The sequence below is a fragment of the Homo sapiens genome, chromosome 11 (genome assembly GCF_000001405.40).
Source record: "Homo sapiens chromosome 11, GRCh38.p14 Primary Assembly".
Lineage (NCBI taxonomy): Eukaryota > Metazoa > Chordata > Mammalia > Primates > Hominidae > Homo > Homo sapiens.
Window position 1 is genome coordinate 43,190,743 of NC_000011.10, and position 26,795 is coordinate 43,217,537.

The 26,795-nt window shown below is 39.0% G+C and overlaps 2 annotated features.

Moving 5' to 3' along the window:
- Positions 21,205-21,805: an enhancer, noted in NCBI's record as "H3K27ac-H3K4me1 hESC enhancer chr11:43233497-43234097 (GRCh37/hg19 assembly coordinates)". NCBI's record gives its function as "activates a minimal SCP1, AML or CMV promoter by ChIP-STARR-seq in naive H9 embryonic stem cells {active_cell/tissue: H9 hESC(naive)}" and the evidence as "EXISTENCE:reporter gene assay evidence [ECO:0000049][PMID:30033119]".
- Positions 21,806-22,405: an enhancer, noted in NCBI's record as "H3K27ac-H3K4me1 hESC enhancer chr11:43234098-43234697 (GRCh37/hg19 assembly coordinates)". NCBI's record gives its function as "activates a minimal SCP1, AML or CMV promoter by ChIP-STARR-seq in naive H9 embryonic stem cells {active_cell/tissue: H9 hESC(naive)}" and the evidence as "EXISTENCE:reporter gene assay evidence [ECO:0000049][PMID:30033119]".

Sequence of the window (26,795 nt, forward strand, 5' to 3'; positions counted from 1 at the left end):
GCTCAATGTTTAGCTCCCACTTAGAAGTGAGAACTTGTGGTATTTGACTTTCTCTTCCTGCATTAATTTGCTTAGGAGTATAGCCTCCAGCTCCATCCATGTTGCTGCAAAGGACTTGATTTCATTTTTTCTTTCATGTCTGTGTAGTATTCCATGATGTCTATGTAACACATTTTTTCCCTAGTTGTTTTTTCATTTGGTTTTTTTGTTGTTGTTATTGGTTTTTTTTAACTTTTATTTTAATTTCAGGGGTACATGTGCAGATTTGTTATATAGGTAACTTACATGTCACAGGAGTCTGGTGTACAGATTATTTCATCACCCAAGTAATAAGCATAGTACCAATAGATAGTTTTTCATCCTCATCCTCCTCTCGCCCTCCACCCTCAAGTAGGCCCCAGTGTCTGTTTTTCCTTTCTTTGTGTCCATTTGCACTAAGCGTTTAGCTCCCACTGATAAGAGAGAGCATGGGGCATTCAGTTTTCTGTTCCTGCCTTAGTTCACTTAGGATAATGGCCTCCAGCTGCATCCATGTTGCTGCAAAAAACATAATCTCATTCTTTTCATGGCAGTGTAGTGTTCTGTGGTGTATACGTACATTCTTTATCTAGTCTACCATTGATGGGCATTTAGATTGAATCCATGTCTTTGTTATTGTGAATAGTGCTTCAATGAACATATGCATGTATGTGTCTTTACTGTAGAACAATTTATATTCCTTTGAGTATATACCCAATAAAGGGATTTCTGGATCAAATAGTAATTCTGTTTTAAGTTAAAATAACACATTTTGAAGTCCAACTTTTCCAGATTTGAATCCCAACCCCACTACTTTATAGCTCTATGACCCTGAGCAAGTCACAACTTATATAACCCTCAGTTTCCTCACCTGCAAAATAAAAAGGATAATATCTAAATTTTATTTGAAATGGCTAGCACTACATCTGGCATGTAGCAGGCCTCAATATTAGTTCTTTAAGTTCTGAAATATTTCCATTTCATATTTAATCATCCTAATAAGTAAGTGAAACAATACAGATCAGTGTGGCTTGGAGTTTCAGTCTATTACATGCCAGTAGTATTACCCCATGATTATGGTTTAGTAAAAGAGGGACATGGTTGATTGAACTCTGTATCCCTTACCTAACTCTGAAGAGAAATGCCTATCTTGTGTAGGTTGAACCATTTTATCAAACAAATAGAAAGAAAACATGTTGCAATAAATTTTCCATAAAAAGTAAGACAAACCCAGGATATGGCTTTGCTAGTAGGAAGAACTCCAGGCCAGAAGTTAACACAGGGGACCTTTAGTTCCACTTATTCTTCTAACCAGCTGTGTAGTCTTAGGAAAGTCATATACTTTCTGCCCTCTGGCCCTCAGCTTATCTGCTAAAGGGGTTTTATTTATTCCAATATTTATGGAGATTGTTGGGTCAGGCTTAGATATTTTTTGAAAGAAAGGCACAATCCCTACCTGTAACTGACACTATTAGTTTCCTGTCCTATAGCCATTGTGCCTTCTGCCCCAAAGTCTTCGTAGATTTAAAAAAAAAAAAAAAGTATTTTGTTCAGGCTTCAATGTGCCCAGCTCCAAAAGATAAGTCATGATTGCTCTAAATCAATCATGACAACTTCATTCTCCTTTGCCAAATAGTCTCTTTTTCAGCCCCCTTTGCAACTAGAAATGGCTACAAGGCTTGGCTCTGGTTAATAAGGCATAAGGGAACATCTAGTAGGCTTCTGGAACAAATTTTCTTCACTAATAAAAGGAGATCCTTTTCCCACATAATATTCTGCTTACCACTTGGGATGCTAGGGACGCAGTGCCTAGAACTCTGGTAGCCATCTTGTGACCGTGAAGTTACAAACACAAGGAAGGTGAATCAACCCACCTAGAGTGACGGAAAAGTCTTAGTCTTTAATAGCATCATTGAGCCACTGAAAATTGCCTGAGAACGTTTTACTGCATAATACGTATGTCGTTATTAGTTAAGCTACTGTTATTTGGGTATTGATGTGTTGGGTATTATAATGATAATCACAGCAAACTTTTTTTTTTCAAGGTAGAATTTTGCTCTGTCGCCTAGGCTGGAGTGCAGTGGTGCCATCTCTGCTCACTGCGACCTCTGCCCCCCTGGTTCAGGAGATTCTCCTGTTTCAGCCTCCCATGTAGCTGGGATTATAGGCACCTGCCACCACACCTGGCTAATTTTTGTATTTTTAGTAGAGACAGGGTTTAGCCATGTTGGTCAGGCTGGTCACAGACTCCTGACCTCAGGTGATCCACCTGCCTCGACCTCCCAACGTGCTAGGATTACAGGTGTGAGCCACTGTGCCAGGCCACAGCAAATTTTATTGACTGTTTACTTTGGCCTAGGCGTTATTCTAAGGTCTGTGCATCTATCAATTCATTTAGACTTCCAAACAATCTCATGTGGTCAGCTCTATAATTATCCCCATTTTACAGTGGAAGAAAGTGATAGAGAGGCAGCAAAAGTTGCAGATAGTAAAGTAGTTGGTATCTGAATCCAGGCAGTCTTAAGCAAGAATCTACAGGCTCAGTCACCACACTATAACACATTCTGCAAAGCTGTTAAAAATTATTTGTTTCAACCTGACAAAAACAAGAAATGCAGAAAGGATTCCCTATTTAATAAATGGTGCTGGGAAAACTGGCTAGCCATATGTAGAAAGCTGAAACTGGATCCCTTCCTTACACGTTATAGAAAAATTAATTCAAGATGGATTAAAGACTTAAATGTTAGACCTAAAATCATAAAAACCCTAGAAGAAAACCTAGGCAATACCATTCAGGACATAGGCATGGGCAAGGGCTTCATGTCTAAAACACCAAAAGCAATGGCAACAAAAGCCAAAATTGACAAATGGGATCTAATTAAACTAAAGAGCTTCTGCGTGCAAAAGAAACTACCATCAGAGTGAAAAGGCAACCTACAGAATGGGAGAAAATTTTTGCAACCTACTCATCTGACAAAGGGCTAATATCCAGAATCTACAAAGAACTCAAACAAATTTACAAGAAAAAACAAACAACCCCATCAAAAAGTGGGCAAAGGATATGAACAGACACTTCTCAAAAGAAGACATTTATGCAGACAACAGACACATGAAAAAATGCTCATCATCACTGGTCATCAGAGAAATGCAAATCAAAACCACAATGGGATACCATCTCACACCAGTTAGAATGGCAATCATTAAAAAGTCAGGAAACAACAGATGCTGGAGAGGATGTGGAGAAATAGGAATGCTTTTACACTATTGGTGGGAGTGTAAATTAGTTCAACCATTGTGGAAGACAGTGTGGTGATTCCTCAAGGATCTAGAACTAGAAATACCATTTGACCCAGCAATCCCATTACTGAGTATACACCCAAAGGATTATAAACCATGCTACTATAAAGACACATGCACACGTATGTTTATTGTGGCATTATTCACAATAGCAAAGACTTGGAACCAACCCAAATGTCCATCAATGATAGACTGGATTAAGAAAATGTGGCACATATACACCATAGAATACTATGCAGCCATAAAAAAGGAGGAGTTCATGTCCTTTGCAGGGACATGGATGAAGCTGGAAACCATCATTCTCAGCAAACCATCACAAGGACAGAAAACCAAACAATGCATGTTTTCACTCATAGGTGGGAACTGAACAATAAGATCACTTGGACACAGGGTGTGGAACATCACACACCAGGGCCTGTCAGTGGGTGGGGGCCTGGAGGAGGGATAGTATTAGGAGAAATACCTAATGTAAATGATGAGTTGATGGGTACAGCAAACCAACATGGCACATGTATACCTATGTATCAAACCTGCATGTTGTGCCCATGTACCCTAGAACTTAAAGTATAATAAATAAATAAATAAATAAATAAATAAATAAATAAATAAATAAATAAGGGTACAAAAATGGGAAATGGATTCTTAAGAAAATAATTAAGCCAAAAATAAAGAAGATAAAAGAAAAATAAATTATTTCTCACTTATTTAAAAAAAAGAATAAGAATTAACTTCTGATTGTAAGAGTATTCAAGTCCTTTAAGAGATAGTTAATATCAGGGCATCATAGACTCATTGTGTGCTGATAAAATTATTTTGGATAAAACGGTAAAGGATGAGTCATTCTGCCTTTTATTAAAGAAGAAAGAATCCACATACCACGCACTTTATGAGGGAGCAATTAACTACAAGAGAACTAAGTTAATGAGTATAAACCATGTGCCCTCTTCTCCCATGCAATTATCTGTGCAAAGTTTGTATCCTGTTGTAAAAGTCACTGACATCTAGGGCCATCACACATAGCTGCACAAACCCTGTACTACACAGCCCTGGGGGACAACCCTGGAGTTGTGCAGTGTGGCAGCTCTGCTGACATTGCCCTTGTGCCCTCTTGTTATCTTGCTATAGTCCTCATACTTTACTGATACTTTTAAAATAATTGAAGTGCTCAGCCAAGTGACTTGGAAGCAAGATAAAAGCTGAACATAGCATACATAAGGTATGTGCAGGCACACACACACTTGCACACGCAAACTCCCACACACAGGTCCACATGACCACAATGGCACACTGATTTTATCAAAGCATTTTCCCACTTCCTAATGCAAACTCAGTCTATCTGTATAAGAAATGGACCAAAGGCCATCTTCAGTGGCACTACCATCTGAACTCAACCCCAAACAGAGCCATTGACTTTATCTAGAATTTCAAGATTATTCTAGTTTCTTAGCCAGTCAGGACAAGTTCAGAAAGCTTCTCAGGAATATAACCACACAAATTAGTAAAAGTTTTGAATCAGTCTTGTAGCCAATAAATGTGGTATCTCAACCGCCAAGTATTTTGTTTTTATTAAATGTTTACTCTGTATCAGGTATTGTGCGGAATACTTTACCTTTGTTATTTCATTAAATCTTTTCTACGTATGTAACGTGCACATTATACAAATGGAAAATCTGAATCTCAAATAAGCTAGCAAGTTGCAGCATATACTGCTGGTTTCCTGTCCCTTCTTTCTTCCTAAGCGAGCACAAATTTTGTTCAGGTATCCACCCTGCATCAAAAGATTAAGTGTGATACTCATCCCAAGCTCTTAGAGTAGATTTTTTTTCTTCTAAGTTAATCATAATGATCTTGTTTTCCTATTATGATTGATTTATAAATGGACATATTAGCCTATTCTGGTCAGAGAAAAGTGAGAAGAAGTTTGCTGTGGCATTTTTTGAAAAGTTGTGTCACTCCTACAGAAGAGACACAGAAAGAAACTAATCTCTCTTCTTTTCCTCAAGACTTTCTTGCCTGGATGTGGTACCTAGAACTGCTGCTGCCATCTTTCTGCCAACTTAAATATTAAACCAACTTGCTGAAAAAAGCAAAAGAATACGAAAAGAATCACAGAGAGATAGAGTCAGAGCTCTGGCATATTAGACATAGGAAATACTTATTTTCAGTATTTATTGATGTGTGAGAAAATAAGCAATCTTATCCTTAAATGTAACCAGAGTTGAGTTTTCTATTAAGTGTGTTTTTATTAAGTGTTGGACAAAATAAGTGGTAGACCTGGGATTTGAACACAGGTCTGTCTATTGCCAGTACTGGTGCCCTAAACCATAACATACTTCCTGTGAGTGCTCAATGCCTCTATATGGATAAAGTATAGACACAACATTGCCTCACATCCCTCCCAGCACACTCACACACACACACCTTTGCCCAAGCCTGTGAAACTCAGCCTTTGACTTATTTACCCCATCCAGCACTCATCTTACTACTTGAGCTTCTCCAGAAATTTGCCTATTTGGTGGAGACAGAAAATTGGTCTAGCTTTTGATAACCAAGCCCAATTCAAGATTCAAGCCCCATCTAAACTCAGTCACTGGAAAGGCCATTTCTTAGAACCATCACCACCAATACTGCCACCAATGACCGAAAAAAAAGATTACAAATGTACTTACATTGTTAAACATGTTAGATGACATTTAGCATGTATCTACTACCATTGTTTAAAGAATCTGAAATTCCCTACTTTGTTTCAACCTGGATGATCCAGAGCTTTTTCTCAAATAAATTTTTTCCTTCATTACTATATGCTTTCTTTAGAGAGCCCGAATATCAGATCTTAGAGCTTCTGTCATTTGAAACAATGTTAGGAAACTCAATACCAAAAAAAAACCTTAGATTTATAGCTTTGTCATCAAGATCACCAACTTCCTTCTGGAACATTAAGACAGTATCCACTGGTATTCAAAGAAGGAAAAGAAACTAATATTAATTGTGTATCTATGTCAGGTTCTGTGCTAAACATTATATTATCTCACATTATACTCAAAATAACCCTACAATATAGGAATTTCTGTTTCCTCAATTGAAAAATGAACAAATGAAAGTAAGTTTATGTAATTGCCTTTAGGCAATACAGCTAGTAAAATATAAAGCCAGAATTAGAAACCTCTGCAAAGGAAAAGGCCATCCACAGGTACTCTGAAATATCCTGGCCTGCTTTTCTAATTAAATGAGTACACTTATTGGATCTTAGCTTCAGCCTTTGATGTAATTTTCACCAAAGATGGTGTCTATGCTCTCCCTGCCAGACATATTGCCCAGTGCATTGGTGAGGGGGAAGCATAAAAAGAAATTAGATATGACTATTGTAAAAGATTTAATAATAGTCATGACTGCAGAGAAAGAAGTAGTCTGAGTCATTTTCTACCTTAAAAGAAAGTGTGGGTCAGGAAATTGCTAAGGTTAAACTAAGTCTAGGGCTCATCATAATTCAGCACCATGGGCAGCGAAAGAGGGGCAATAAAACTGAAATATGAGACAGACAAGAGATAAAAGAAGAAAGAAAATGTTTAACTCCCAGGTTCTTCCTAAGGAATTTCAAACTGTCCAGGGTTTTATTCACCCTTTCATTCAGCACTATTTATCTTTCTTATGCCATTGAAACTCTTTCCTGCAGAAAAGCCATTCTCCCTCATATCTGACATTGCAAATTACCTCCTCTAAGAGGCCCAAACCAGTTTGTTTAATTTCTACAGTGGATTTACTTGCACAGGTGTCAATCATTTCTCTAAGAAGTACGTTGAGGAGCATGCAGTAGGGGATAATTGCTGTCTTCTGGTAGAGGTCAAGCAGCATCTAAGACCAGGAAGAATGTGGTACTAGATTCATCTGCATGACAGTATGCAAGCCAAAATTATTTTGATTTTACTAATACCACAGGGAATATTTTAAACCTGCAAAGTGGAGGCCCTGATAAAATATCAATTGTGACTCTACATTCTTCATTAAACTACAGAAACAGCCCCAGATTGGTCATCAGGCCTGAGGAAGGGGCATTGGGAATAAAAATGGGGTAAAATAGGAGTATATTGTGATGACAGGCAGTAACGAGGGTTGCCCAGGAGTCTACACTGAAGACAAAGATGAAAATTTCTGGAATAGAATAGTGTATCATATGAAGTCACTAAGTGATTTGTAAGTACATTCAACCTATTATCAAGCCAAACTTCACATTTATAATATACCTAGACCATTTGAAGAGTTTCTCTAGTGCTCACATTCCAACAGATCCTCAGTTCCACTCTGACCAGACCCACTCAGTGAACTTCATTGGATCATCCTGCCCTGTGCTTATACTATTCTTTAAAAAGTAAACGTTAATGGGCAAAGATGTCACAACTTTAACATTCCTAACAAGCTTGTGAAAAACTTCAAATCAAAGTTCCATATTTCAAAAAAAAATGGGGATAAAGATATGTTTGTATTATGGTAGGAAAAGAAAACTACTGTTGTACTGTTTTCTAAGGAAAAGTTTTCCTCTGTCTGAGAAAGTTGTTCTCCTCAGTGGAATAGAAATGTGTGCCTAAAACATTGTAGAGAGAATAGAATATCTACTTAAGCTATCTGATCATCCAAACCAGCCACAGAGGTAGTTATCCATAGGGTAACAGATATGAGATGATACACATCCTTAGGCCCAGAGTTAAATTCCAAGCTTATTTATGAATGTTGGGAGAGCCTAAATTCAACAGATTGGACTAAAAGAGTACTTCCATTGTGGTATACTAACTGATATTACTGAAAGAGGTTCAAAAGTCAACTAAGTTCAGAAAATCCTGGGAACGAATTTTTTACTGAAGCACTTCTCAGGAGACCTTAACCTGTTCATATGCATTGTGGATTTCCAAGAGTCGTCATATATTACACAGAATTTTCCAAGATCTTTGCTACCATGAGGTTCATATGGGCATATTTCTCGATTTTCCAGCCTAGTTTCATGGGAAGTTAGCATACATGATCCAAAGAGAATATTGCCATGTTGAAGCTTGCACTTAACTACCGATGTAATAACCAGATGATAACAGATATCTTAACTGTCAAAAGAAAAACATAAGACAAGGAAGCCAAGTACTTTAATACCTATAATTTCTGTGACTGATAATGTTTGTTGGTGTGTCAAGTGGAGATAGTATAATATTCGAACAGAAGATGATTTAACTGAGAGAACAGACTCAAAGACTGTGACTGTAATGTGAAATTATATGAGGTTGACTAAAACGTGCAAGCAATGATGGCCCTTCATACAGATGAGGAACTGCGATTCCTTTTTTTGTAAAACTCTCTAGAATAAAGACTTCTTCATGGAGACACTGCTGCATGCAGTCCAAGAATCAAACAGAGGATAATATTTATCATAAAGTTAATTTTATGCAAATTATTCTTTTCTGGAGGCAGACTAAAAAGCAATCATGTCTTAAGGTCCCACTTTTCTTTCTTAAAGTCTTAAAATTATACTTCAAAATTGAAGTTATAAAGTTATAAATCTGGCTGACACAGTACCCTATGTGAATGGCCAACTTTGCAGCAATTTAGTATCATTATTATCAGAAAATAACTGTATTCAGATAGTCATATTCAAATTACTTGTTTTTATAAAATTAATGAAATCAAACAATTCATATCTATGTATATCATTCCTATAAATATTTATCTGTTACACATATACACTAGTAGCACAAGAGGAGAGAATTAAATTTTTCCCTAAAAGCCAATTTGGAACAAGTCATGCAACAGATACAAATTTTCTACGAATCCAAAATTAACATTAAATTAGTCTTCAATTACAATTTCTTGTAGAAACGGATCGGTTCTAACTTAGCTTCCTTCTAATGCCCCTTCTCTCTAATACACTGAAATTTCTCTGGAAGAGGTGATCATTCTGCCGCAACTTGCCAAATAAATTTTGAACACCTTGAGCACTTTGTTAATAAAATGACACAGTAAGGCATCTAATGCCTTCAGGCCTAGAATAGACTTTGGGAGAACAGCCCATGATCTCATTCCCATTAAGTCCAAGATAAAATGGCTAGGGGGCAGAAAATGAGTCAATGGAGCCTGAGGTCTCTGCCCTTATGAACCTCATGGTAGCAAAGGCATATGGATCTCATCACTTTTCACTCTGCAAACATAATTAGTGGCTGACATTAATTTGTTCTTGTTGGAAAGAAACATCGTTTCACTTTTGTTTTAATAACAGTTATGCCTCCCTGGAGATTGAGTCTTCTGTCAAGTCTAAAAGCAGCCAAAATGCAGAGTTTTACAGTCATACTCTCCATAATTTCTGCATAACTAGATCTCTAAATCTGAAATTGTAACCTACCCTAGGAGGCCACCCTTAATTCCCAACAGCTTGGTTACTATATACTGTACTTGTCGTTTAGCAGCACCTAGTAGAGTGCCTATCACATAGCAAGTACTCAATATGTTATTTGTTAAATGAAGGACAACACCAGAATTGGGGGTAGTTTTTTTTCTTCTAAAAAAAAAAAACAGGATACATGTGCAGAATGTGCAGGTTTGTTACATAGGAATACGTGTGCTGTGGGGCTTTGCTGCACCCATCGACCCATCCTCTAAGTTCCCTCCCCTCATCCCTCACCTACCCACCAGACCCTGTATGTGTGGTTCCCTTCTCTGTGTCTATGTGTTCTCAATGTTCAACTCCCACTTATGAGTGAGAAAATGCTGTGTTCAGTTTTTTGTTCCTGTATTAGTTTGCTGAAGATAATGGCTTCCAGCTTCATCCATGTCCTTGCAAAGAACATGACTTCATTCCTTTTTATGGCTGCATAGTACTCCATGGTGTATATGTACCACATTTTCTTTATCCAGTCTATCATTGATAAGCATTTCAGTTGGTTCCATGACTTTGCTATTATAAATAGTGCTGCAATAAACATACATGTGCATGTGTGTTTATTGTAGAATGATTTACATTTCTTTCAGTATATACCCAGTAATGGGACTGCTGGGCAAATGGCATTTCTGGTTCTAGATCATTGAGGAATTGCCATACTGTCTTCCACAATGGAGAAGTAATTTACATTCCCACCAACAGTTTAAAAGCATTTCTATTTCTCCACAGCCTTGCCAACATCTATTGTTTCCTGACTTTTTTTTCTTTTATTATACTTTAAGTTTTAGGGTACATGTGCACAACGTGCAGGTTAGTTACATATGTATATATGTGCCATGTTTGTGTGCTGAACCCAGTAACTCATCATTTTAACATTAGGTATATCTCCAAATGCTATCCCTCCCCGCTCCACCCACCCCACAACAGGCCCCAGTGTGTGATGTTCCCCTTCCTGTGTCCATGTGTTCTCATTGTTCAATTCCCATCTATGAGTGAGAACATGCAGTGTTTGGTTTTTTGTCCTTGCAATAGTTTGCTGAGAATGATGGTTTCCAGCTTCAACCATGTCCCTACAAAGGATATGGACTCATCATTCTTTATGGCTGCATAGTATTCCATGGTGTATATGTGCCATATTTTCTTAATCCAATCTATCATTGTTGGGCATTTGGGTTGGTTCCAAGTCTTTGCTATTGTGAATAGTGTCGCAATAAACATACGTGTGCATGTGTCTTTATAGCAGCATGATTTATAATCCTTTGGGTATATACCCAGTAATGGGATGACTGGGTCAAATGGTATTTCTAGTTCTAGATCCCTGAGGAATTGCCACACTGACTTCCACAATGGTTGAACTAGTTTACAGTCCCACCAACAGTGTAAAAGTGTTTCTATTTCTCCACATCCTCTCCAGCACCTGTTGTTTCCTGACTTTTTAATGATTGCCATTCTGACTGGTATGAGATAGTATCTCATTGTCTTTTTGATTTGCATTTCTCTGATGACCACTGATGATGAGCATTTCTTCATGTGTCTTTTGGCTGCATAAATGTCTTCTTTTGAGAAGTGTCTGTTCATGTCCTTTGCCCACTTTTTGATGGGGTTGTTTGTTTCTTTCTTGTAAATTCGTTTGAGTTCATTGTAGATTCTGGATATTAGCCCTTTGTCAGATGAGTAGATTGCAAAAATTTTCTCCCATTCTGTAGCTTGCCTGTTCACTCTGATGGTAGTTTATTTTGCTGTGCAGAAGCTCTTTAGTTTAATTAGATCCCATTTGTCAATTATGGCTTTTGTTGCCATTGCTTTTGATGTTTTAGACATGAAGTCCTTGCCCATGCCTATGTCCTGAATGGTATTGCCTAGGTTTTCCTCTAGGGTTTTGATGGTTTTAGGTCTAACATGTAAGTGTTTAATCCATCTTGAATTAATTTTTGTATAAGGTGTAAGGAAGGGATCCAGTTTCAGCTTTCTACATATGCCTAGCCAGTTTTCCCAGCACCATTTATTAAATAGGGAATCATTTCCCTGTTTCTTGTTTTTGTCAGGTTTGTCAAAGATCACATGGTTTTGGATGTGTGGTATTATTTCTGAGGGCTCTGTTCTGTTCCATTGATCTATATCTCTGTTTTGGTACCAGTACCATGCTGTTTTGGTTACTGTAGCCTTATAGTATAGCTTGAAGTCAGGTAGCGTGATGCCTCCAGCTTTGTTCTTTTGGCTTAGGATTGACTTGGCGAAGCGGTCTCTTTTTTGGTTCCATATGAACTTTAAAGTAGTTTTTTCCAATTCTGTGAAGAAAGTCATTGGTAGCTTGATGGGGATGGCACTGAATCTATAAATTACCTTGGGCAGTATGGCCATTTTCACGATATTGATTCTTCCTACCCATGAGCATGGAATGTTCTTCCATTTGTTTGTATCCTCTTTCATTTCATTGTGCAGTGGTTTCTAGTTCTCCTTGAAGAGGCCCTTCACGTCCCTTGTAAGTTGGGTTCCTAGGTATTTTATTCTCTTTGAAGCAATTGTGAAGGGGAGTTCACTCATGATTTGGCTCTCTGTTTCCCTGTTATAGGTGTATAAGAATACTTGTGATTTTTGCACATTGATTTTGTATCCTGAGACTTTGCTGAAGTTGCCTATCAGCTTAAGGAGATTTTGGGCTGAGATGATGGGGTTTTCTAGATATACAATCATGTCATCTGCAAACAGGGACAATTTGACTTCCTCATTTCCTAGTTGAATACCCTTTATTTCCTTCTCCTGCCTAATTGCCCTGGCCAGAACTTCCAATACTATGTTGAATAGGAGTGGTGAGAGAGGGCATCCCTGTCTTGTGCCAGTTTTCAAAGGGAATGCTTCCAGTTTTTGCCCATTCAGTATGATGTTGGCTGTGGGTTTGTCGTAGATAGCTCTTATTATTTTAAGATATGTCACATCAATACCTAATTTATTGAGAGTTTTTAGTATGAAGCTTTGTTGAATTTTGTCAAATGCCTTTTCTGCATCTATTGAGATAATCATATGGTTTTTGTCATTGGTTCTGTTTATATGCTGGATTATGTTTATTGATTTGCATATGTTGAACCAGCTTTGCATCCCAGGGATGAAGCCCACTTGATCATGGTGTATAAGCTTTTTGATGTGCTGCTGGATTTGGTTTGCCAGTATTTTATTGAGGACTTTTGCATCAATGTTCCTCAGGGATATTGGTCTAAAATTCTCTTTTTTTGCTGTGTCTCTGCCAGGCTTTTGTATCAGGATGATGCTGGCCTCATAAAAAGAGTTAGGGAGGATTTCCTCTTTTTCTATTGATTGGAATAGTTTCAGAAGGAATGGTACCAGTTCCTCCTTGTATCTCTGGTAGAATTCGGCTGTGAATCCATCTCGTCCTGGACTTTTTTTGGTTGGCAAGCTATTAATTATTGCCTCAGTTTCAGAGCCTGTTATTCGTCTATTCAGTGATTCAACTTCTTCCTGGTTTAGTCTTAGGAGGGTGTATGTGTCAAGGAATTTATCCATTTCTTCTAGATTTTCTAGTTTATTTGCGTAGAGGTGTTTATAGTATTCTCTGATGGTAGTTTGTATTTCTGTGGGATCGGTGGTGATATCCCCTTTATCATTTTTTATTGCGTCTATTTGATTCTTCTCTCTTTTCTTCTTTATTAGTCTTGCTAGCAGTCTATCAATTTTGTTGATTTTTTTAGAAAAACAGCTCCTGGATTCATTGATTTTTTGAAGGGCTTTTTGTGTCTCTATTTCCTTCAATTCTGCTCTGATCTTAGTTATTTCTTGCCTTCTGCTAGCTTTTGAATGTGTTTGCTCTTGCTTCTCTAGTTCTTTTAATTGTGATGTTAGGGTGTCAATTTTAGATCTTTCCTGCCTTCTCTTGTGGGCATTTAGTGCTATAAATTTCCCTCTACACACTGCTTTGAATGTGTCCCAGAGATTTTGGTATGTTGTGTCTTTGTTCTCGTTGGTTTCAAAGAACATCTTTATTTCTGCCTTCATTTCATTATGTACCCAGTAGTCATTCAGGAGCAGGTTGTTCAGTTTCCATGTAGTTGAGCGGTTTTGAGTGAGTTTCTTAATCCCGAGTTCTAGTTTGATTGCACTGTGGTCTGAGAGACAGTTTGTTATAATTTCTGTTCTTTTACATTTGCTGAGGAGTGCTTTACTTCCAACTATGTGGTCAATTTTAGAATAAGTGCGGTGTGGTGCTGAGAAGAATGTATATTCTGTTGATTTGGGGTGGAGAGATCTGTAGATGTCTATTAGGTCCACTTGGTGCAGAGCTGAGTTCAATTCCTGGATATCCTTGTTAATTTTGTGCATCGTTGATCTGTCTAATGTTGACAGTGGGGTGTTAAAGTCTCCCATTATTATTGTGTGGGAGTCTAAGTCTCTTTCTAGGTCTCTAAGGACTTGCTTTATGAATCTGGGTGCTCCTGTATCTGGTGCATATATATTTAGGATAGTTAGCTCTTCTTGTTGAATTGATCCCTTTACCATTATGTAATGGCCTACTTTGTCTCTTTTGATCTTTGTTGGTTTAAAGTCTGTTTTGTCAGAGTCTAGGATTGCAGCCCCTGCCTTTTTTTTCTTTCCATTTGCTGTGTAGATCTTCCTCTATCCCTTTGTTTTGAGCCTATGTGTGTCTCTGCACATGGGATGGGTTTCCTGAATACAGCACACTGATGGGCCTTGACTCTTTATCCAATTTGCCAGTCTGTGTCTTTTAACTGGAGCATTTAGCCCATTTACATTTAAGATAAATATTGTAATGTTTGAATTTGATCCTGTCATTATGATGTTAGCTGGTTATTTTGCTCATTAGTTTATGCAGTTTCTTCCTAGCCTTGACGGTCTTTACAATTTGGCATGTTTTTGCAGTGGCTGGTACCGGTTTTTCCTTTCCATGTTTAGTGCTTCCTTCAGGAGCTCTTTTAGGGCAGGCCTGGTGGTGACAAAATCTCTCAGCACTGGCTTGTCTGTAAAGTATTTTATTTCTCCTTCACTTATGAAGCTTAATTTGGCTGGATGTGAAATTCTGGGTTGAAAATTCTTTTTTTAAGAATGTTGAATATTGGCCCCCACTCTCTTCTGGCTTGTAGAGTTTCTGCCAAGAGATCAGCTGTTAGTCTGATTGGCTTCCCTTTGTGGGTAACCCGACCTTTTTCTCTGGATGCCCATAACATTTTTTCCTTCATTTCAACTTTGGTGAATCTGACAATTATGTGTCTTGCAGTTGCTCTTCTTGAGGAGTATCTTTGTGGCATTCTCTGTATTTCCTGAATTTGAATGTTGGCCTGCCTTTCTAGATTGGGGAAGTTCTCCTGGATAATATCCTGCAGAGTGTTTTCCAACTTGGTTCCATTCTCCCCTTCACTTTCAGGTACACCAATCAGACATAGATTTGGTCTTTTCACATAGTCCCATATTTCTTGGAGGCTTTGTTTGTTTCTTTTTATTCTTTTTTCTCTAAACTTCTCTTCTCACTTCATTTCATTCATTTGATCTTCCATCACTCATACCCTTTCTTCCAGTTGATCGAGTCAGCCACTGAGGCTTGTGCATTCATCACATAGTTCTTGTGGCTTGGTTTTCAACTCCATCAGGTCCTTGAAGGACTTCTCTGCATTGGTTATTCTAGTTAACCATTTGTTTAATATTTTTTCAAGGTTTTTTAACTTCTTTGCCATGGGTTCAAACTTCCTCCTTTAGCTCGGAGTAGTTTGATTGTCTGAAGCCTTCTTCTCTCAACTCGTCAAAGTCATTCTCCATCCAACTTTGTTCCATTGCTGGTGAGGAGCTGCGTTCCTTTGGAGGAGGAGAGGCACTCTGATTTTTAGAGTTTCCGGTTTTTCTGCTCTGTTTTTTCCCCATCTTTGTGGTTTTATCTACATTTGGTCTTGGATGAGGGTGACATACAGATGCGGTTTTGGTGTGGATGTCCCTTCTGTTTGTTAGTTTTCCTTCTAACAGTCAGGACCCTCAGCTGCAGGTCTGTTGGAGTTTGCTGGAGGTCCACTCCAGACCCTATTTGCCTGGGTATCAGCAGCAGAGGCTGCAGAACAGTGGATATTGGTGAACAGCATATGTTGCTGCCTGATCGTTCCTCTGGAGGTTTTGTCTCAGAGGAGTACCCAGCCGTGTGAGGTGTCAGTCTGCCCCTACTGGGGGCTGCCTCCCAGTTAGGCTACTTGGGGGTCAGGGACCCACTTGAGGAGGCAGTCTGCCCGTTCTCAGATCTCCAGCTGCATGCTGGGAGAACCACTACTCTCTTCAAAGCTGTCAGACAGGGACATTTAAGTCTGCAGAGGATTCTGCTGCCTTTTGTTTGGCAATGCCCTGCCCCCAGAGGTGGAGTCTACAGAGGCAGGCAGGCCTCCTTGAGCTGCAGTGGGCTCCACCTAGTCTGAGGTTCCTGGCCACTTTGTTTACCTACTCAAGCCTTGGCAATGGCGGGGGGCCCCTCCCCCAGCCTTGCTGCCAGCTTGCAGTTTGATCTCAGACTGCTATTCTAGCAATGAGCAAGGCTCCGTGGGCATAGGACCATCCGAGCCAGGCACAGGATATAATCTCCTGGTGTGCCACTTGCTAAGACCATTGGGAAATGCAGTATTGGGGTGGGAGTGACCCGATTTTCCAGGTGCCATCTGTCACCCCTTTCTTTGACTAGGAAAGGGAATTCCCTGACCCCTTGCACTTCCCAGGTGAGGCAATGCCTCACCCTGCTTTGGCTCATGCTCGGTGCACTGCACCCACTGTCCTGCACCCACTTTCCGACACTCCCCAGTGAGATGAACCCAGTACCTCAGTTGGAAATGCAGAAGTCACCCATCTTCTGCATGGCTCACACTGGGAGCTGTAGACTGGAGCTGTTCCTGTTTGGCTATCTTGGCTCCACCCTCCTGACTTTTTAATAATTGCCATTCTGACTGGCATGAGATGGTATCTCATTGTGGTTTTGATTTGCATTTCTCTGATGATCAGAAATGTTGAGCTTTTTTTCCTATGTTTGTTGGCCACGTAAATGTCTTCTTTTGAGAAATGTCTGTTCATATCCTTTGCCCACTTTTTGATGGGGTTGTTTGTTTTTTCTTGTAAATATGTTTAAGTTCCTTGTAAATTCTGGATATTAGACCTTTGTCAGATGGGTAGATTGCAAAAGTTTTCTCCCATTATGTAGGCTGCCTGTTCACTCTGATGATAGTTTCTTTTGCTGTGCAGAAGCTCTTTAGTTTAATTAGATCCCATTTGTCAATTTTGGTTTTTGTTGCAATTGCTTTTGGCATTTTTGTCATGAAGCTTTTCCTATGCCTATGTCCTGAGTGGTATTGCCTAGGTTTTCTTCTAGAGTTTTTATGATTTTGGGTTTTACATTTAAGTCTTTAATCCATCTTGAGTTAATTTTTGTACATAGTGTAAGGAAGGGGTACAATTTCAGTTTTCTGCATATGGCTAATCAGTTTTCCCAGCACCATTTACTGAATAGGAGATCCTTTCCCCATTGCTTGTTTTTGTCAGGTTTATTGAAGATCAGATGGTTGTAGATGTGTAGTGTTATTTCTGAGGTCTCTGTTCTGCTCCATTGGTCTGTATATTTTGGTACCAGTATCATGCTGTTTTGGTTATTGTAGTCTTGTTGCATAGTTTGATGTCAGGTAGCATTATGCCTCCAGCTTTGTTCTTTTGGCTTGGGATTGTCTTGGCTATATGGGGTCTTCTTCAATTCCATATGAAATTTAAAATAGTTTTTTTCTAATTCTGTGAAGAATGTCAATGGTAGTTTGATAGAAATAGCATCGAATCTATAAATTACTTTGGGCAGTATGGCCATTTTCATGATATTGATTCTTCCTCTCCATGAGGATGGAATGTTTTCCACGTGTTTGTGTCCTCTCTTATTTCCTTGAGCAGTGGTTTGTAGTTCTCCTTGAACAGGTCCTCCACATCTCTTGTTAGCTGTATTCCTCCGTGTTTTTTTCTCTTTGTGTCGATTGTGAATTGAAGTTCTTTCATGATTTGTCTCTCTGCTTGCCTGTTGTTGGTGTAAAGGAATGCTTGTGACTTCTGAACATTGATTTTTTATCCTGAGACTTTGCTGAAGTTGCTTATTATTTCAAGAAGTTTTGGGGCTGAGATCATGGGGTTTTCTAAATATAAAATTATGTTGTCTTCAAACAGAGACAACTTGACTTCCTCTCATCCTATTTGAATATCCTTTATTTCTTTCTCTTGCCTGATTGCCCAGGCCAGAACTTCCAATTCTATGTTGAATAGGAGGTGTGAGAGAGGGCATCCTTGTCTTGTGCTGTTTTTCAAAGGGAATGCTTCCAGCTTTTGCCCATTCAATATGATATTGGCTGTGGGTTTGTCATAAATAGCTCTTATTATTTTCAGATATGTTCCATCAATACCTAGTTTATTTAGAGTTTTTAACATGAAGGGATGTTGAATTTTATCAAAGGGCTTTTCTGCATCTACTGAGATAAGAATGTGGTTTTTGTCATTGGTTCCGTTTATGTGTTGAATTATGTGTACTGATTTGCATATGTTGAACCAGCTGTGCATCCCAGGGATGAAGTGAACTTGATCATGGTGGATTAGTTTTTTGATGTGCTGCTGGATTCAGTTTGCCAGTATTTTACTGAAGATTTTCACCTCAATGTTCATCAGAGATATTGGTCTGAAGTTTTCTTTTTTGTTGTTGTGTCTCTGCCGGCCAGTATCAGGATGATGCTGGCTTCATAAAATGAGTTAGGGAGGAGTCCCTTCTTTTTAGTTGTTTGGAATAGTTTCAGAAAGAAGGGAACCAGCTCCTCTTTGTATTTCTGGTAGAATTCAGCCGTGAATCTATCTGGTCCTGGGCTTTTATTGGTTGGTATGCTATTAAATACTGCCTCAATTTCAGAGCTTGTTATTGGTCTATTCAAGGATTTGACTTCTTCCTGGTTTAGTCTTGGTAGGCTGTATGCATTCAGGAATTTATCCACTTCTTCTAGATTTTTAGTTTATTTTGCGAAGGGTGTTTATAGTATTCTTTGGTCGTAGTTTATATTTCTGTGGGGTCAGTGGCGATATCCTCTTTATCATTTTTTACTGTGTCTATTTGATTCTTTTCTCTTTTCTTATTAGTGTAGCTAGTGGTCTATCTATTTTGTTAATTTTTTCAAAAAACCAGCTCCTGGACTCATTGATTTTTTGGAGGGTTTTTCATGTCTCTGTCTCCTTCAATTCTTCTCTAATCTTAGTTATTTTTTGTCTTCAGCTAGCTTTTGGATTAGTTTGCTCTTGCATCTCTAGCTCTTTTAATTGTGATGTTAGGGTGTCATTTGAGCTCTTTCTAGCTTTCTGATCTGGGCATTTAGTGCTACAAATTTCCGTCTTACCACTGCTTTAGCTGTGTCCCAGAGATTCAGGTACATTGTCTCTTTGTTCTCATTGGTTTCAAAGAACTTCTTGATTTCTTCCTTAATTTCATTATTTACCCAGGAGTCATTCAGGAGCAGGTTGTTCAATTTCCATGAAGTTATGTGGTTTTGAGTGAGTTTCTTAATCCTGAGTTCTAGTCTTATTGCACTGTGGTCTGAGAGACTGTTATGATTTCAGTTCTTTTGCATTTACTGAGGAGCATTTTACTTCCAATTATGTGGTCGATTTTAGAATAAGTGCCATGTGACACTGAGAAAAATGTATATTCTCTTGATTTGGGGTAGAGACTTCTGTAGATGTCTACTAGGTCCACTTGATGCAGAGCTGAGTTCAAGTCTTGAATATCCTTGTTAATTTTATGTCTCATTGAAGGGTCTCGTACTGACAGTGGGATGTTAAAGTCTCCCACTATTATTGTGTGGGAGTCTAAATCTCTTTGAAGGTCTCTAAGAACTTGTTTTGTGAATCTGGGTGATCCTGTATGGGGTGTATATATATTTAGAACAGTTATCTCTTCTTGTTTAATTGTTCCCCTTACCATTATGTAATGCCCTTCTCTTTCTTGATCTTTGTTGGTTTAAAGTCTGTTTTGTCAGAGATGAGGATTGCAACCCCTGCTTTTTTTTTTCTTTCCATTTGCTTGGTAAATTTTGCTCCATCCCCTTATTTTGAGCCTCTGTGTGTCTTTGCATGTAAGATGGGTCTCTTGAATACACAACACCTGCAGTCTTGATTCCTTATCCAATTTGCCAGTCTGTGTCTTTTAATTAGAGTATTTAGCCCATTTACATTTAAGGTTAGTATTTTTATGTGTGAAATTGATTTGTCATTATGATGTTATTTGGTTATTTTGCACACTAGATGATGCAGTTTCTTCATAGTGTCATCGATCTTAATATTTTGGTGTGTTTTTTCAGTGGCTGCTACCTGTTTTTCCTCCCCATATTTCATGCTTCTTTTAGGAGCTCTTGCAGGGCAGGTCTGGTAGCAACGAAATCCCCCAGCATTTGCTTGCCTAGAAAGGATTTTATTTCTCCTTTGCTTATGAAACTTAGTTTGGCTGGGTGTGAAATTCTGGGTTGAAAATTCTTTTCTTTAAGAATGTTGGATATTGGCCCCCACTCTCTTCTGGCTTGTAGAGTTTCTAGTGAGAGATCTGCTGTTAGTCTGATGGGCTTTCCTTTATAGGTGACCTGGCCTTTCTCTCTGGCTGCCCTTAACAGTTTTTCTTTCATTTCAACCTTGGAGAATTTGATGATTATATGTCTTGGGGTTGATCTTCTCATGGAGTATCTTAATGGTGTTGTCTGTATTTCCTGAATTTGCATGTTGACGTGCCTTGCTAGGTTGGGGAAGTTCTCCTGGACAATATCCTGAAGTGTGTTTTCCAGGTCATTTCCATTCTCCCTGTCTCCTTCTGGTACTCCAATCAATCATAGGTCTGGTCTTTTTATGAAGTCCCATATTTCTTGCAAGCTCTGTTCATTCCTTTTCATTCTTTTTTCTCTATTTTTGTATACTTGTCTTATTTCAGTAAGGTAGATGTCAAACTCTGATATTCTTCCTTCCACTTGTCAATTCGACTGTTGATGCTTCTTTCATTGGGTTAAAACATGCTCTTTTAGCTCAGCATAGTTTTTTATTATCCATCTTCTGAAAGCTATTTCTATACATTTGTCCATCTGATCCTCCATCCAGTTCTGCACCCTTGATGGAGAGACGTTGCAATTATTTGGAGGAGAAGAAGTACTTTGACCTTTGGGTTTTCAGCATTTTTTCATTGATTCTTTTTCATCTTCGAGAGTTTGTCTTGTTTCAGTCTTTGAGGCTGCTGATCCTTGGATGTGGTTTTTATGGGGGCCTTTTGTGTTGTTGATGCTGTTGTTGTCACTTTCTGCTTGTTTGTTTTTCTTTCAATAGTCAGGTCCCTTTTCTTTAGGGCTGCTGCAGTTTGCTGAGGGTTCACTTCAGGCCCTATTTATCTGATTTGCTACCGAGCGAGGAGATGTCACTCAAAGAGGCTAGAGAACAGCAAAGATTGGTGCCTGCTCCTTCTGGGACCTCTGACCTCAAGGGGCAACAACCTGATGCCAGTAGGATCACTCCTGTAAAGGGTGTCTGACAACCCCTGTTGGGGGGTCTCACCCAGTTGGGTGACATGGGGAGCAGGACCCGTTTAATGAAGCACTTTGTCCCTTGGTGGAGAAGGTGTGCTTCGCTGGGGGGAATCCCTCTCATCTGGGCTGCCCGGATTCTTCAGAACTGCCAGGAGAAGAGGCCAAGTCCGCTGGTCCAGAGAGACTGCTGCGACACCTCCCCCAATTCCAATTCTGTCCCTGAGCCTCTGGCTGGAGTTATTGGAGATCCTGCAGGGAAGCCCCGCCCAATGAGGAAGGCTGGGTCAGGTTTAGGCCTGAAGAGGCACTCTGGCCACAGAAACTGCCACAGCCAGTGTGTTAGGCTGTGGGGACAAGTCTTGGGACCAAGCTGCCCTGCCTCTCTGGCTCCAGAAGGGGAAAAACACAGCCTGGAGCTATAGAAATGTGTGTCGCCCTTCCCCCGCCCAGGGATCTTAGCGTGCTAGGCAGTTGCGAGTCCCAGTGCTGGCTGCTGTCCCTCCCCCAGGGAGCTCCAATGGCTTAGTCAGCAGGCACCCCCAGTCGGTGCTGGTCGCCCCTCCCCTCCCGAGTTCGGTAGGCTTGAGCAGATTCCAGCTAAGAGGCTGTAAGAATCTGCACATGCCAGAGTTGGGACTCTAGGCCTCGGTGGCATGGGTTCGCGAGTGGGATCTTCCGATCCGTGGGTTGCACAGTTCTGTGGAAAAAGCACAGTTTCCCTGGCTGGGTAGCACACTCACTCGCCACCTCCCTTGGCTAGGGGGAGGAGGTTCCCCTTCCCCGTGTGGCTCTCAAGTGGGCCGCGCACCACACTGTTCTTTCTCTCCGTGAGTCACTCCAGCTTTCTAGTCAACTTTGATGAGAGAACCTGGATACTTTGGTTGCCGGTGAAGGATTCACACGCTAATTTTTTTTTTCGACAGGAGTCTCCGAAAGCTGCTGCTTGTAGTCAGCCATCTTCAGGGGTAGTTTTATCAAGACAGACTAGAATGGTGACAACACTGCACTCATTCCTTCTTTCATTTATGCATTTAAAAAGTACTTATTTCATGCCCGTAATCTCAGCACTTTGGGAGGCTGAGGTGGGTGGATCACCTGAGGTCAGGAGTTCGAGACCAGCCTGACCAACATGGTGAAACCCTGTCTGTACTAAAAATACAAAAATTAGCTGCGCATGGTGCCGGGTGCCTGTAATCCCAGCTACTCAGGAGGCTGAGGCAGAATTGCTTGAACCTGGGAGGCAGAGGTTGCAGTGAGCCGAGATCGTGCCATTGCTCTCCAGCCCGCGTGACAGAGCGAGACTATGTCTCAAAAAAAAAAAACTGCTTATTAATCATGGCACCTCACTAGGCACTAGAAAATAGAGCACTCAAAAAAACCTACTTCCTGCCATCCTGCAGTTCTCAAAGAACTAAAACAAGACCAATGTGTCTGGATTGCCAAGAGTGAAGAGAAGTACCAGAGGCCATATTATTACACTGCCTCATAGGCCATGTTACAACCCTGGCTACTTTTTTTCTGAGGATAAAGGAAATCCATTAAATCATTTTAAATAGGACAAAGAATGTGATATAATTTGTATTTTTCAAAGGTCCCTCTGACTCACTGTGAAAAAAAATGGATTGTAGGAGGCTAAAAAATGCAAGATTTCAGTCATTACTAGACTTTTTCCACAGAATATGAGCTAAAAATATTCTATGTCATAACTGGCATGCTCTTAGCAAGTTCACTGGGTGATTTCATGGGCACAAAGATAATCCTCTTGCCTGGAAAACCTCCTATTCTGTGGTGTCTGTAATCATATTACACAAAAAGGCCTTTCATTCTATAATTCAAGGAAAAGTTTCCAATTCAAACATTCCTGGAAGCGCTGGTTTGATAAAAGAGAGAAAAGAGAATTGAGGAGGCACTAATACTCCACAGGTGAAAAAGAAGGTGAATAAATTTATTAAAACACACTTCTACTACCTCCTGGTTTTACCTAAAACCTACCCTTGTGCCTTTACTCATATTTATTTATCTATCTTAGAAGAAAGTTGCACCAAGAGTGGTCTAAGAACCAAAATCAAGCACCTTAACATGCTGAAACCCCCATCACTTCAAAGGGTCAGACTATGTTTTCTCTGATTCCATTTCTATTTGATTCCTTTGTGAGTTAAGACACTTTCACTGTCTCTGAAATTACATTGTTGTAAACACAGTAAAATGTATTTCTATATGAAGGGAAAATTAATAACCAACTTTCATATAAGTTAATTTCCTCTTTTTCCTGTGGCTTTTCAGTGTTTCTATTGCATTCATAAAATTAATGTAGAGAGCTCTCGAAAGGATAATTAAATAAATTACTTTAGTTTTTACCCAGTGAGTATGTAGCCTACAAAATAATTTCTCTTTAGTAGCTTGTGAGTTACACTGGTCTATTCACTATGTGTTTGGAGTACTACTGATAATCTCTCTTACAAATCTTAAACTACAAAAACATCTTCTCAATATAGGATGATCTATTTGATACAGGCTCAATTAAACCCAGAATTTGTTTTAAATGAGCTACAGGTACTTCAGGCAATTCATCATTTGATTTTTGTTATAATTCAGCAAGTGGCCTATGCTCTTGGCAAAAGAACCAGACTGCTTCAGTACCATGGATAGTGTCTGGTTTCCACCCCCCCACCCCCCGACACCCTTAGTCCCTACCTTTGGGTTGTCTAGTATATGTATCTGCAACTTTCTTGGTCTTCACAATTTCTGGCAATAAATACACAAACTCAATGCTAAGTGTAAGAATAATGTTTATGTGTGAGTCAGCAGTTAAGAATCAAGAAAGTACCTGATTTGTCTTTTTAAATAAAAAATATAACTTTATCAGAAAAGAGACCAAAAGTTGAGTCAGGCATGTTAAAAATGAGAATCTATTCAAATTTTCTTCCTCCATCTACTGTCTTACTGTTCTAAAATTCATGCATATTTCTTAGGATTTCAACTCATCTCAACAGATACTTATTAAGTAACTATGACTAATGTAAAAGGGTCTCTTTTAACTCAGTCAAACTAAATCAGAATTTGAGATATTTTTATCTCATCATAAAAGCTACTAGGTTCTAGGTCTTAAGGTCTTTGTGAAGAATTCTAAGATAGTTCTCAGACTGTGATCATAAATCTTAGTTCAGGCAGTGTAAAAATATCACTTCAAAAATTATTTTTAAAAATCCTAAAGATTATTTTCTCAAAATGACTGTGATATTATAATGTTAACCAGAATAAGCCAATATAAAAATGATATTCCTTCATTCTAAAAGGAAAGAAATGCAGGTCTAAAATCCCTTATCAGAAATTCGTGGAGTCACATATGGTTCAGAATTCAGGATTTTTTTACATTTTAGAAATATATTAAATTGTACATTATGTACCACCCCTTGTAGAGTCTGAGACAACACAAATAATCAAACACTAGTATTAATTCACCAATACCTATTAATATTCACACAGGGTGGAAAAAGACTATAAATAGCTTCACATGTGATGTCGTTTGGCTCAGTGTCTCCACCCAAATCTCACCTTGAATTGGAGTTGCCATAATCCCCTTGTGTTGTGGAAGGGACCTGGTGGGAGGTAATTTAATCATAGGGGCAGTTACCCTCATGCTGTTCTCGTGATAGTGAGTTCTCACGAGATTTGATGGTCTTATAAGGGGCTTTTCCCCCTTTTGCTCAACACTCCTCCTTCCTGCTGCCATGTGAAGAAGGACATGTTTGCTTCCCCTTCCACCATGGTTGTTAAGTTTCCTGAGGCCTCCCCAGCCATGCTGAACTGTGAGTCAATTAAACCTCTTTCCTTTATAAATTACCCAGTCTCAAGTATGTCTTTATTAGCAGTGTGAAAATGAACTAATACAACATGATTAGGAAAAAATTTTCTGCCAAATGAAATCAAATCAGACAGTTCAGGTTTTGCCATCCAAAGGGTTTCAAGGATACAACCTTCACCACTTTTAGATTTCACAATTTTGAAAATTAAATTGTGGACCTAGATTTATTGAGCAGTAGGCATTAACATGCATTAAAATTTAATATTTATAACAAACATCTGAGGGATGTTTTACTAGTTCCATTTTATAGATAAGAATATGTGGACTCAGAGAAATTAAATAACATGGCTAAGGTCACACATCAGTAAGAGGAGTAACTGAAAATCAAAGGAAATCTTTCAGCCTTCACCACCAGTGTTCTTCCTACTGCACCAGCACCCTCAAAGAAGCTCCACCATGACAAGTAGTTGGACAGTCATTACTTCTGTCTACATTCCATTTAGACTCATAGATTAGAGAAGATAAATGCAGTATTATTCTTATGAGCCACAATCAAACTGTAACTGGAGATTTCTTAAATTTCTCTAAATATGTTTGTGACAAGAAACTGTATTTTGTTTTATTCCACCTCAGGCATGAGAAATAGGTTCCAGTCCCTAATATCATGACGTGTTGATGCCTTTGCTAAAAATCAGCTTTCCTTCTGATTTCAGGTTCTCATGAGTATTATCCTCCAATCATCAACTGATGAAGATCACAAAACTTCACTCTCTGCAACTGACAGGAAATGAATTTGCAATATTTTCTGAGATATATCCAATTTTACCACCCTCTTCCTCCAAAAATTGTTTAAAACATGATCCCAGGCACTAAAATTTCTCCTACTGTTGTGATTGATGGAGGATTTTAAGTAATCTGAGAAATGGAAAAGTCACTAGTTATTGGCTAGTGTAACTTATAATGTACAAAGCAAGGGTCTAAGGCCCTGATTCACATTTTCTATCACTTTATAGGGCTTTCACTGCATTTAATTATGACTGAAAACAAATAGAAGTAAACAAATATTTACAAAGTAAACTAATTGTGATGATGTATTTATCCACCACTGCCTAAGGTATTATTCTCAAAAACAATCCCAATTAGCAGAAGTAGACTTTGGAGAACTACAGGTAAAGAAGGAGGTGACCTGAGACACCCCCAGCCAAACAATGCAAACAATTTATCAATATGCATAGACATGACTTCACAGATCACTAGACAATCTTTAAAAGCAGTCAAGTTATCATGTATGGACATCAATTCCATTAGCATCACTGGCTTTTTCAGTTACATTTTTAATCTGGAGAATGTTACTATCCCCAAATTGGCAGCCTATTTGGCAAAGAGAAATTCCATACTGTTAATCTATGTTAAAGACAGATGAAACTGTGTACAAAACCAAACAAGTGCCCTGAACTGAGATGTGCCAGTATGTTAAATACCAATGTATTTGACCCTGTGGGTGAGTCAGCCAAAGGAGACCAATATAGGGAAATGGTTTCGTACAATAGTGGCTGAGAACATAGTTTCTGGGAAAGGCTGAGCCTTAACTCTGCCACCTATCATCAGCATGACCTTGGACAACTTATCTACTATGTCAAAATTTTCCATATTGGACATGTATTACTTTCATGGTAAGAAAATAATTAAATTCGTTAACTGAAAAAAGCTG